The 14,379-nt window shown below is 37.3% G+C and overlaps 1 protein-coding gene across 2 annotated transcripts in view; it reads left to right on the forward strand.

Annotated features, from left to right (window-relative positions):
- MYOZ2 (myozenin 2) overlaps positions 1–9,553 on the forward strand; it is a 51,958-nt gene extending 42,405 nt beyond the window's left edge. For both annotated transcript variants that reach the window (NM_001440645.1, NM_016599.5), the window contains one exon: positions 7,730–9,553. In NM_001440645.1, coding sequence (NP_001427574.1) covers positions 7,730–7,756 — 27 coding nt within the window. In that variant the 3' untranslated portion in view covers positions 7,757–9,553. The remainder of the gene's footprint in view (positions 1–7,729) is intronic.

The raw sequence follows: 14,379 nt of genomic DNA on the forward strand, positions 1-14,379 counted from the left end.
AAACTCCGTATGTTAGGAACCAACTTCTCTTTATTTACACCCATTCCAGGCTGTGATGGTATGCAGTTCCAAGGTTCTAATATCACCTGTGTGCTGATAATGCCAATGATATACTCAGCCTGAACTCTTCCCTGAGCTTCACTCTGCCACTGGACATCACCCATAGGATGGGTAACAAACATACAAAAATTAACATGTCAAATGAAACTTGATCTCTAGCTCCAAATGGGCTCCTTTTCCAATCTGCCCCATCTCAGTAAATTGCATATTTATATTCCCTGTTGCTCACATAAACAATCTACGGCTTACCCTTAATTCCATTTTCACCTTATACTCTATACCATCAGCAACATCCTATTAGGTCTATTATTTATTTATTTATTTATTTGAGTTGGAGTCTCGCTCTGTCGCCCAGGCTGGAGTGCAGTGGTGCAATCTCAGCTCACTGCAATCTCTGCCTCCTGGATTCAAGTGATTCTGCTGCCTCAGCCTCCCGAGTAGGTGGGACTACAGGCATCCACCACCTCACCCGGCTAATTTTTGTGTTTTTAGTAGAAACAGCATTTTGTCATGTTGGCCAGGCTGGTCTCCAACTTCAGACCTCAGGTGATCCACCTGCCTCGGCCTCCCAAAGTGCTGGGATTATAGGCATGAGCCACCGTGCCCGGCTATTCAGTCTATTTTCAAAATACATTCACCCTAGTACAAACTGCCATCATTTCTTATTTTGATTACTGCAAAAGCTTTCAGACTGGACTTGGTGCTTTCACTCTTGCCCTCCTTTAAGCTGTTCTCCATAGAACAGCCAGAAAGAAATAATTTAGAAATGCAAATCAGGTCGTGTCCCCTTCCAACTAAAAACTTTGTAACTGTTACACATAAAATACAATCCAAACTTGTTATCATGGCCTGGAAGACCTCACAGTGCTGGCTCCTGTCTGTCTCCAGCTACATCTTGCAAGGCTTTCCTCAAGCTCACCCAGCTGTATCCACACTGGGCTTCTACTGTTTCTTACATAATAGACTCCTTCTCACCTTGAGGCCTTTGCCCTTGTTTCCTTAGGCCTGAAATGCTTTCCTCAGATTTTCAGCAGATCATTCCTTCACATCTTTCAGAGTTTTGCTAAAATGTCATCTTACAGAGCACTTCCTGAAAATTTATTTAAATAGTACTCTTTCTCCTGGACTAAAATTCAACAGTGATATGGACACATAGAACAAACTCTCATCTACTCATTCTCCTTTATTTTTCTTCATAGCTCTTTTTTTTCATTACCTTATAATATTATGAATTTATCTATTCCTTTCCTAAAAGTGAGTGTCCCTATCTACAGGGTAGGCACCCACAGAGAGCTGCAACTTTATCTGTTTTATTCAACATTATGATCTTAGTGTTTGTCTTAGTTTGTGCAGCTGTAACAAAATATCTGAGACTGGATAATTCATAAAGAACAGAAATTTATTTCCTCACAGTTCTGGAGCTTGGGAAGTCCAAGATCAAACTGCCAGCATTTGGTGTCTGGTGAGGGTCTTCTTGCTGTGTCCTCACATGGCAAAAGAAGTGAACACTGTGTTCTCACATGATGGATGCAAGAAGGGCAAAAAAAGGCTTAAGCTAGTTCCTTCTAGCCCCTTTATAGGGCACTAATCCATTCATGAGGGCAGCGCCCTCATGACTTGGTAATTTCCCAAAGGTCTCCACCTCTTAATACCACCACAGTAAGGATTAAGTTTCAACACATAATTTTTGGAAGACATTCAGATCATAGCAAAATCTGAAACAGTACCTGGCACATAGTAGGCACACATTAAATATGTATATTAAAAGGGGAATGGATTTTACTTAATGATTGGGGAATCATGTGCTGTGTATGTCAAGTAATTTACCTTTGATCAAGGTGGTGTTTCAGGCTAGCTAGTCTGACTCCTGAATCGCATCTCTTAGACTGCTCTATTTTATTTTTTCTCCAGTGCTCTATAAATTCTACCTTGTTTGCTTTTATTGCCTGTGGTGATCTGGAGGGAAGAAATCCTGTTTTAACTTCTACCCATCATTGTTGTTAGATCAGTCAACTGTATATATGAATGATATACCTAATAATTAAATTCAAGAACAAAGCAATAACTCCTGATTCCCACCTATGCATGGGAGGATGAGAAATATGTACTCTTTACTCCACTCTCATCCCCTGCCTGCCAGCTAATACTTGTTAATTTAATCTGCATACTGCTATTCGCCTTTCTGTCATATAAATATTTTAAACTAGATAAATATTCTTTTCCAGGAATAGCAGCTTGCATTTGTATTTAATTTTCATGATCACATATATTTTTTTGAGATGGAATTTTGCTCGTCACCCATGCTGGAGTGCGGTGGTGCGATTTCAGCTCACTGCAACCTCTGCTTCCTGGGTTCAAGCGATTCTCTTGCCTCAGCCTCCTGAGTAGCTGGGATTACAGGCGCCTGTCTCCACACCCAGCTAATTTTTGTATTTTTTTAGTAGAGACGGGGTTTCACCATGTTGGCCAGGCTGGTTTCGAACTGCTGACCTCAGGTGATCTGCTTGCCTCGGCCTCCCAAAGTGCTGGGATTATAGGCATGAGCCATTGTGCCCAGCCTATGACCACATTTTTAAAGTGGCTTTATTCTTATTGCCAGTACTTTTTATATTATGCTACTTGAGTTATTTATCCAAAAGTTATCTGGAATATGTCTTCAAGTAATTCTCTTAGGAAGGGAACACCAATATAAGTCCATGCATATCTATAATACATATATATTTTTTACATTGGTACATGAATAATTACCTGGTCACAGTCTTTTCTCCACAACACCTATTCAATACTCTTTTTTGGTATGTAATGTTTTGGAAAAGATTATGGACAGCCTCATATTCATTCCTTTTATACATTCCTTCTGGCTTCCCTCCCTGTATGGCTCATTATATTAAAAACATTAAAATTCTGACAAGGAATGTCCAGGTAGCATCTTTTTATTTTTTCTTGTTAACTTTGTCTAGTACTTGGTAACTCCTTTTCCTCTATAATCTCTTCTTCCTTCAACTCAGGAGAGTTGTTTTCCATATCTTTGGTTCATGATTGTGATCATAATGCTCTGTTTTCTTCCTCTGGAAGCTTGAATATCCTCATCTGGACTCTAGTTTATTTTACTTTTCATCATATTGTCTGCTCCCTGTGCATTCTGGGAGAGTTATTCTACATAATTTAGTATGCCTTTCTTATGAAAAATAACATAACATTTTATTGTCTTCTCAGTAGATTACAAGTTCTTTGAGAGTAAAAACCATGACTTTCATTTCCACTTACTTGCTTCCAGCATATTCCTGGAAAATAGTGGCTACTCAAAATAGCCATTTGGTTTCCTTAGATGGATAAAATATATGTGATGGAGGCATATCAACTTACTACAAAAACTATGGCATAGTACTGAAGAGGTGGAATTTGGAGGCTATCTTGAGGAGTATATATGTATTAAACATTCTGCAGGCAAGAGCCCAGAATTTAATACATACAGAAAAGAATGAACAACTATAAGTTACATACATGAAAAAAAGAACATAAATTTAGCAAATTTGGAATCTGATTTAATTTATATAAACTGAATTTTAGGAATGTATTATTATAAAACTGTAAATATTGCAGAGTTCAAACAGTACACTGAAGAACAGAGTATCTAGTAAATATTATAAAACACGACTTTATTGTTTTAGAAGTTTGATAGTAAATTTTCAAATCAACATTATAAAATTTCAAATTTTAGGCTTCTGACCTAACCTAATACAGTATTCAGAAGCTTTTGGGATTATTTTCTCCACTGTGCATAATAAAAACTTCTTAAAAGAGGAAAGTGTCAAATTATATTGCAAGTTAAAAGCAACAGAAAACATTTCTCATGCCACTGAAATAATTTTGAAACAAAATGTGACACAGTTCACCTGCAGTTCTCACTGGCTATGGTAACTATTGTCAGCAACAAACATATTTAGCTTCTAGCAAATTGGCTGGATAAAGGATGTAATGCCTGATGCTTGAAGTATAGTTGGCTTTACTCTACTTCCAGCAGTCTGATTGCTTCTTACACAGGCCTTTCTAGTGAATTAAGTCTCCTTCTGCATCCTCAACCTGGATCATGGTACCTCAGGAAGGACAGAGTAGTTATCAGTCACAAAAAGGCAACTTCTAATAAGGAAGTTGCATGACACTGTAATACAATGGTCCCCAACCTTTCTGGCACCAGGGACCAGTTTCGTGGAAGACAATGTTTCCAAGAATGGGGGAAGGGGTGTAGGGGTGGCAGGGTGGGGGGAGATGGTTTCGGGATGAAACTATTCCACTTCAGATCATCAGGCATTAGTTAGATTCTCGTAAGGAGCCTGCAACCTTGATCCCTCACATGCAAAGTTCACAAGAGGGTTTGCACTCCTATGAGAATCTAATGCCCCTGATGACCTGACAGGAGGTGGAGCTCAGGTGGAAATGCTCACTCACCCTCCGCTCACCTTCTGCTGTGTGACCTGGTTCCTAACAGGCCATAGATGGTTGGTCTGCAGCCTGAGGGTTGGGGACCCTTGCTGTAACAGATGCAATGGGAATATACAAATGAAATTGAATATGACTTTCCTTTTTACAGACTAAAATCTGTTTGGGGAGGGAAAAATTTAATTGAAACGAAAGTAATAGAATCAAATTTGTAGCAGACTATACATATTTATGTTTTAATTAATTCTTTAATAAAAAAACACACAGAAATTAAGGTAGTCAAGAAAGATAGCAGAGTGATTGAACTATAAAGAAAATAAGATCTCTTCCAGGTTTTAAATAATCACAATATTAGAGAATCTATATAGTCTTGCCAGGTCCTATGGTACAATGCATTATATAAGTATATTGTAACGAATTACAAAGATACATCAGAGAGAATTCCAATCTTCTTAGAGTACAGTCTGGTAAGAAAAAAGGCAGACATACAAATGGATATAATGAAAGATATAAAATAGGATCGCAGGGGAGGTGAAAATAGAAGTCATGGAAACTTCGGAGTGGAAAGCTTACTTCTGGCTGTGGGAAATTGGGAAAGCTTCAAGAAGAAAGTTAAGTATGAATTAGGGCTTAAAGGGGATTTAGAAACGCAGTTGTAAATATCAGAGTACTCCAAGCAGAGAGAGAAAAAAAAAAGAGTATGATTAGAGGCAGTGAGGTAGGAGAGCATAAATGCAAAGAGCAAGCAGTTAAAGGATGCGTGAAAGTGAATAGGGCAAAACCTGCATGATTGACCTCTCCACTGGGATGTCTAATCGTGTTTTCCACCCACACACCAACTCTGTTCTTTTCTGTCTTCCACCAGCCAGTTGCTAAAACTCTAAAGGTAGGAGTTTTCATTGATTTTTCTATTTTCTTCATGGTTTTAATCCAATTTATCAGCAAATCCTGTTGACTCTACCTGTAAAGCACATCCTGACCCACCCACTTTTTTCCATCTTTACATAAAACACCTGAAATACAAGTCATCATTTCTTGCTTGAGTTACTGCAATAGCTTCCCTCCTTCCACTGTTGTCTTTTTTTTTTTTTTTCCGAGACTGAGTTTCCCTCTTATTGTCCAGGCTGGAGTACAATGGCACGATCTCGGCTCACTGAAACCTCCACCTCCTGGGTTCAAGGGATTCTCCTGCCTCAGCCTCCTGAGTAGCTGGGATTACAGGCATGCGCCACCATGCCCTGCTAATTTTTTGTATTTTTAGTAGAGATGGGTTTCTCCATGTTGGTCAGGCTGGTCTCGAACTCCCGACCTCAGGTGATCCATCCACCTTCTCCTCCCAAAGTGCTGGGATTACAGGTGCGAACCACTGGCACTGTTGTCTTCTTATAATCTGTTCACACAGCAATAGCAGCCAGAATGACCCTTATAAAATGTAATTAGGTTATATAATCTCCTGCTTACCATCCTACAATGGTTGCCCTTCACATTTAGAAGGAAATCCATATTCCTTATTTAGAAAAAGTCCCACACAAGTTTACCTCTCTGTCCCCTGTTCCCTCTGCCCCACCCTCACCTGCTAGCCTAGGAACATAAGCCTTCTTTGTTTCCTTGAACACGCCAACATTATTTCTGCCTTAGGGTTCTTGGCATTAGCTATCCTGTCTACTGGAAGTGCTGATGTACTTTAGCCATACTGTACATGTCTAACTTCTGACCTTCAGATGGCTGTTTAAATGTCGCCTCTTCAGAGAAGTCTTCCCTGGTGATTCTATCTGAAATAACTTTTTAGTAATTCAGTTATTCAATATTATAACACCCTATTTTAACTTTATGCATAGCTGCTATCACCATCAGATATTTTTGTATATGTTTATGTTTAGGGTCTCTTTCACTAGAATGTAAGAACTAAGACTTTGATTATACTGCACACTTGAAACTCTGTCTGGCACTGAATGAGTAATCAAATGCTTAAATCAAACAAAGCAAAAAAGTTATGTGGGATCTTGAATGACAAGATATAGAAGTTGGGCTTTATTCAGAAGACAAGTGGAAGAATGCTAAGGTTTTTGAGGTAGAAAGATGCAACAGACATACTGCTTGACCTAAAAGAGTTTATAATTCACAGATAACCCAAACAGATAATCCACATTCTTAAAAGGAGAAGCTCAATACAAAGCACCATTTCATTAGTAGCAAATGACTGACATAGAACAATTGATGCTGCAGGAATGTGGCTAAGAAAGTGGGCAGGGATAGTTTGAAGGAAGTTAGAACTGCAAGACTATAGGACATACACAAGTGGAGAAGTCAGGGAGGAAACTGCCTCTCTTTTATTTTCCTTTTCTTTCCTCTTCTCCCCTCTCCCTTCCCTTCCCCTCCCCTCCCCTTCCCTTTCCTTTTCTTTTTTTCCTTTCGTTTCCTTTCCCTTCTCCTTTCCTTCTTTCTTTCTTTTTTTCTGAGATGAGGTCTTGCTATATCACCCACGCTGGTCTCAAACGCCTGGGCTCAAGTGATTCTCCTGCTTCAGCATCCCAGGTACTTGGGATTACAGGTGTAAGCCAATGCACCCAGCAGGGAATATCTTTTTTTTTTCTTTTTAGACAGGTTTCACTCTGTCACCCAGGCTAGAGTGCAGTGGCATGATCTTGGTTCACTGCAACCTCCGCCTCCTGGGTTCAAGTCATTCTCCTGCCTCAGCCTCCTGAGTAGCTGGGATTTCAGGTGCCCGCCACCATGCCCGGCTAATTTTTGTAATTTTAGTAGAGACAGGATTTTGCCATGTTGGCCAGGCTGATCTTGAACTCCTGACCTCAGGTGATCCTCCTGCCTCGGCCTCCCAAAGTGCTGGGATTATGGGCATGAGCCACCACGCCCGGCCTAGAAATATCTTGAATAGGGGAAATATTGTTGGTAAAAGTACAAAGGCAAGACATGTCTGTAATGAGCTCAGTGTACAGGGAATAGATTAGTCCAAAACTAATAGTATATACAAATGAACTTCAATGAATTTGTTATCAATATTTGGTTTTTCATAAAAACATGGTCTTTAAAGTAGAAATGCTTGCCTCAGAGGTCACAAAATGACAGTCATTCATAGAATATAAGTAAGCCCATAAAATAATGAATTAAATACACCCATAAAATCATGCCTATAAAATTATGAAATTGTTTTCTATTTTGACAAATTTGAATATTAATTGAGATCTGTTTTTTTTTTAATTTCCCACAGGGTTGCCACACCATTTGGAGGTTTTGAAAAAGCATCAAGAATGGTTAAATTTAAAGTTCCAGATTTTGAGCTACTATTGCTAACAGATCCCAGGTTTATGTCCTTTGTCAATCCCCTTTCTGGCAGACGGTCCTTTAATAGGACTCCTAAGGGATGGATATCTGAGAATATTCCTATAGTGATAACAACCGAACCTACAGATGATACCACTGTACCAGAATCAGAAGACCTATGAAAAGAAAGTTGTATGTGCCACATAAAACTCTGAATATAAAAGTTGCTGTTCTACTATTTTAACTACTGGCAAAGCCACTTGCATTTTTCATTAGTAGCAACAATAGCAATTTAGTGATTTTCCTTTTCTGACATTCAATTTCAATCTCAGATCAAATACTAATAAACAATTAGAAATCTTACTTTAAAAAACTTATAACTCACTTGTCTTCATTCATAATTTTGTTTTCACCTGGTTTAAAGAATCCAGATATTTTACTGCAAAAGTTCAGATGGAAAAGTAATTGACAGTTTCACCTTTGTCTCATTTTATATGATTTATTACAGTGTAAGTTTTTCAAGTGGAATCTAGAATCAAAATACAGGGAGAGATATGAAGACCTATTCAGAGTTTCATCTGGGGATGAAAGCTATGGAAGATGATGTACAAATGTTATTGATGGAGAAAATGGTTGGGTGTGTCCTTTCTGGTGACCATGAGAAAATAATATGTCTTGATGAAGTCTTTTCATTAGTCACTCTTAGAATTCTAAAGTGCTTTGCACTTTTCAATATGTTTTGAATCATTAGGTAATTTATTCTGGATGATATTCTCCAAAATTCAATTCAGTTATTATATTCATTTAGCATTAAGTCAAGGAGACTGAGAATGACTCAAGGGACGTCATAGTACCATAGTTTTAAGGACCAAGGTGTGCCCAGAATTCAAGTTTCACAAATCCCAATGCTGTGCATTGATTATGTTCAACTTTATGTGTGCATTCTTAGAAGAGTAAGAACAAATAAAGTACACCGTAATATACATATAAATACATTCATGTTTGTGAGAGAAGGAAAGAGTAAGTAATTTGAATTGGCAGCTTTCTTTGCTAAATCTTTAAATTCTGTTAAGATCCTCAAGTAACTGGGGAGTACATGCTTTAGGACACAAACAAAAACAAAGGGCATGAAAGTATCTGAAAGCAATGTAGCACATATCTATCGTAATATATGTAATATATTGACATAAAAGACACAAACTAATATAAAGTTATAGTTATATCTTAAAATATAATTGAAGAAGCATATGACATATAACTTATAGAAATCAGTATCAATTCCTCCCATTTCAATTCAGTTAAGACTTCTGTGATAGATGTTTATAGCAGAGAAGAAATGTCTCATCAATAGAAAACTATCAGATAAAGTTTAGGAGATAGGAAGAAGGACTGTGTGTAGTAATGAAAATACCAAGTTGCAACATTACATGTTTACAAAAAAAAATCTGTGTTTGTAGTGTGGAAGTTGGTGACTGTTTTAATCATCATCTAGACTTGTTAAGTAGAAAAATTTTAAAAATTTGCTTATGAAAATATAACCCCCAGAAAGTAACAATGACAAAGTATTATATTTATATATATTATTGTAGAGAATTTGTATATTTTTAAAGATGTCTTAAGATATCTTAATTTTATTTATAAGTTTTGGTGTTTACCTGTTTTAAAATGATAATGTTGGCATCTGTGATAAACTATCAATGAGGCTCCCATCATGCCATTTTTTGTTCATTTTAATCTTTAAAAAATAAAAATTAGGCATATTAATTATGCATTTTGATGAAATGGTTTAATTCTTTATTAACATCATGAAATGAGTCATTATTTTTAATGAAAATGAAATCTTTTTGCATTATTTCAACCATTTCCAAATATAAACTATATGATCACTGTCCCTATTCTGCCAACCACTGAAAGTAGAGGCCAGCAATTAAGTATGTTAGCTACAGAACAGTACTCCCCAGTATCATAAAAGATAATTTAAAAAGGAAAATCCTGGCCAGGTGCGGTGGCTCCGCCTGTAATCCCAGCACTTTGGGAGGCCGAGGTGGGCGGATCACGAGGTCAGGAGATTGAGACCATCCTGGCTAGCACGGTGAAACCCTGTCTCTACTAAAAATACAAAAAAATTAGCCAGGCGTGGTGGTCGAGGCCTGTAGTTCCAGCTACTCTGGAGGCTGACGCAGGAGAATGGCATGAACCCGGGAGGCGGAGCTTGCAGTGAGCTGAGATCACGCCACAGCACTCCAGCCTGGGCGACAGAGCAAGACTCCGTCTCAAAAGAAAAAAAGGAAAATCCTAAGTGATACTTATTTTTTTAAAAAGATTAGGTAGAAAAAGAAAAAATAACCCTCTGTTCACTATTTTATTTCTTTCTTTCTGGGAAGTGTCTATTAATTCTAGCTCAGCTGACACCTTTAGAAAGGCCAGCATTTCACTCTGGTTGTTACATAATTCAGAATTCAAAAGGAATTTTGAATGGGTTTTCCATTAACCTGAAAAACAGCTAAATCTTTCAAAGTCAAAAGAAATATGATAGTCTCTTTAGAACAACAGAAAGACCGCGACATTTTTTCCACCTGCTTTTGTATAAATAAGATATGGAAAAAAGGAGAAAAAATATTTTTTAAAAAGGTAAAAGAATAAAAATTTGTTGCTGGAGTACTAAATGTCAGACACTGTAGTCATTTCCTTATAAAGGCAATTTAATATATTTAATATTGCATTTTCATAATTATTCTGTAAGGATGGCATTACAAATAATCTCAATTTTATATTGAAAAGACTGAGCCTCAGAGAACTAACGTGACTTGAAATAAGCTTAGCTCATAATTAGAAGAACTTGGTGAGTCTGGCTCTAAAGTACATGCTCTAAGAACACATGGTTCATAACTTTTCCTAAGAATAGAGTTCAGCCTTAAAGTATTTAGACAAAATAATAAAAATTCTCTGTTATTTTAATTTTGAGCAAATACATCTATTCACTGAGTAATTTTAGAGTCACTATCCAAAGTTATACAGGCATTCATAAAGAAACTGAACTTTCAGACTGTGTTGAAAGCAAACTAAATAAAACAGCAGTATGCAGATTTAACTTTGAAATTGGAGAAACACAAAAGTGCACTCTGATTAAACCTGCTCATTTCTGCTCAGTATTGTACACCTGTTTGATCTATGTAATCTTCCTTTTCTAAGGAGAAAGAGTGGGAAAGCAGGAGAAAGAGAGTTAAGAAATGCATGACATAAGGCTGAAAGAAATCATCTAGTTAATAACATACCAAAACCACTCCTTCAAAAGAAAACATTTTCTACTTTTTAAAACATTAGAGGAAATTCTCTCAGATTTCATTATACTGTTCGATAGACTTCTGGGTCATGAAATTATATCTTCTATTTTAAGCCAATTTCTTCTAATATCATTGGCAGGACTGATGATCAACTTGCCAACTGCCCCCTGGATGATAACTACAGCTACATTAATAACCAAAGCTATGGTTAGAAAGACTGTCTTTGGCTTTTAACTCTCCACTTCCTTTCATCATTTCTCAAACGTTTTATTTTTCATCTCGTAACTCAATATTTAAGAGGACTTGACAATTAAAAATAACTAATTATTGGTTATTACAAAATCAAGCCAAATATAGACAAAATTTTTAGTCAAAATGATCATTTATTGCATCTACTTTAAATTTTACATCCTATAAATAGACCCATTTATAAATATTTTAGCAGCTTGGAAGTGGAGGGAGCCAATTAATCTTGCAAAGGCTAATATGGAGCAAAATGTCCAGTCGTGAGTATGAAAAGAACACCCTGAACTTTTCAACTAAGGGCACAGCTGTACCAGCAGGCTTATTAATTCTGGAATTTCTTCACTCTGCTGCTTATGCAAGATAAAACTTACATGACATAATTGCAGTTTTTCAGCCACAACTGTCTTTTATTAAGCTTAGAAAAGTATTACTTTGTCCCTTTTCTTATGAAAAATAATTTTGCCCTCCACACTCTATTCTGTAGGAAGAAGGGCCATTCACTTTCTATGAAAGGCAGAAAAGTGCCATGCTTTTACCAAAAGACAAGCAAAGGGAATCCATTTCAAACTAACTGATCAAAGCACACTGCAAATATATAAAATAATTTTTTAAAAATTATAATGCCTTTTACAAGTTAAACTTTCCAGAACTAACAAAAAAGGAAGTAAAAGTGTATAAGAATTTTAACAGCTTAAACTAAAATGTTATTAAATAAAAGTAGGGGTTCTTATTTGAATTTCTTAAATGGAGGAGCTAGATTGCAACCCTGGATATAAATTTACCCTGACTTCTCAATGTAATGTGATTTCAGTGGGAAGATTTGGTACATAAGGGCAAAGAGAGAAAAAAAGCTATTTGAAAGAGCTTATAGTTCAGATCAAAATAAGAATGTGCTTGCCATTTTGTATTATGTAATTTTTTTTTAAGAGACAGTTTCTTATTCTGTCACTCAGGCTGGAATGGAGTGCACTGGCCCAGTTATAGCTTACCACTGCAGGCTCAAACTCCTAGGCTCAAGTGACCCTTTTGCCTCAGCCTCTTGAGTAGTTGGGACTATAGGCATGCACTACCACACTTGGCTAATTTAAAAATTTTTTTTAAAGGTAGGGTCTTGCTATGTTGCACAGCCTGGTCAAGTGATCCTCCCACCTAGGCTTCCCAAAGCGTTGGGATTACGGGCATGCACCACCAAGCCCAGCCTGCATTGTGTGATATTTTGAAAAACATTTTAATGACAACTCAGGGCAGTGGAGATGTTTCAGGAAACAGGACTGGAAAGTTAGAAGGAAAAAAATATAAAGTAAATGTCATTCCCTATTTTGAAATTGCTCATTAAAGAAGCTGCATCACTAACAAAATAAATATAAAAGAAGGGGTGTGGATAGGGGGGAAAGGAAGGCCAGAGTGAAGTAGGCTGGAAGGAAATACAATTCAGGCTGTACAAAAGCTAACTGCGTTATTTTATGGTTTCTGAAGCCTTTTATTCACTTCTTTTAAAGTAATTTTGGTCTACATAGACACAATTGTTTGATGTGGATTGTTATCTAAATAGATACTCTCATTACATTTATCATCACTCACAAATAATATATTAAAGCAATTTTATTTAAAGAGTCTAGCTTCACAGTAACAAATTTACATGCTGATTTACCACAAATCAATGAATAATCTCAAGCAATTTACTTCACTCTGTAAATCACAGTTTTCTCCAACTACTTATATGGCTCAAACATCACCTCCTCCTAAGACCTTTCCTGACCACCCTTATTTAAAAGAGCACACTTCTAATACCTTATTGGGCTTTTATTTTTCTTTACAGCACTTATTACTCCCTAATGTGTGTTAGTTCAGATCCTCTGAGAAGCAGATGTCAAGATGGGATTAAACATGCAAGAATTTTATTAGGAGAAATGCATGTGTGAAAGAAAATGGGGAGGGAATCAAGAATGTCTTGGAGATATATATATCCACTATGTACCCACAACAATTAAAAATTAAAAAAAAAGAAAGCCTGGGAGAGCCAGCAGGCCTAAAATGGAAATGCGTACAAGTGTTCTAGGCTGTCATGCAATTTCAGGAAGATTCAGCAAGGCTGTTGGGAGATCCTGAGCCAGTCAGCCATCCTCAGAGGGGTCCTGTGTTTCCTAGAAACAGCCTACCTTAGTGGCACTGTCACAGTCATTAGCTATGAGTGGCCTGTGCAGGCAGCCTCTGCACCAATGCATCGTGGAGTTCAGAATACAGCAGAACTGGGGCCCCTGGCCAATTATGTTGCTGGTGTTCTACAAGGAGCATTCCAATGACCGCCACACATATTTTTATATGTATTTATTTCTTTATTGTTTAATTCTTTCACCAGAATGAATGCTCTCTGAGGGCAAGGATTTGCCTTATTTATTTATTTAATTGACAAATATAAAATTGTATGTTAATCATGTATAACATGATGCTTTGAAATATGTATACATTGTGGGAATAGTTCAATTGAGCTATTTCAACAATTAACATAGGCATTACCTTATATACTGATCATTTTTTGTGGTGAGAACACTGAAAATCTCCATGATTTTCAAAATACAATGTTATTATTAACTATAGTCATCATGTTGTACACTAGATTTTCTGAACTTCCTCCTTTGTAACTGAAATTTTGAATCCTTTGATCAATATCTTCCCAACCACTGCCCACTTCCCAGAACTACCATTCTACTCTCTACTTCTGTGAGTTCAACTTTTTTAGATTTTGCATATAAGCGAGATCACTTGTATTAACTGCTATATCCTGTATGCCCGGTCCATTCTAAATAATAATATTGGCCGGGTGCAGTGGCTCATGCCTGTAATCCCAGCACTTTGGGAGGCCGAGGCAGGTGGATCACCTGAGGTCAGGAGTTCGAGACCAGCCTGGCCAACACGGTGAAGCCCTTTCTCCACTAAAAAATACAAAAATTAGCCGGGCGTGGTGGTGGGCACCTGTAATCCCAGCTACTCAGGAGGCTGAGGCAGGAGGATTGCTTGGACCCAGGAGACAGAGGTTGCAGTGAGCTGACACGGTGCCACTGCACTC

The sequence above is a fragment of the Homo sapiens genome, chromosome 4 (genome assembly GCF_000001405.40).
Source record: "Homo sapiens chromosome 4, GRCh38.p14 Primary Assembly".
NCBI classification, from domain to species: domain Eukaryota; kingdom Metazoa; phylum Chordata; class Mammalia; order Primates; family Hominidae; genus Homo; species Homo sapiens.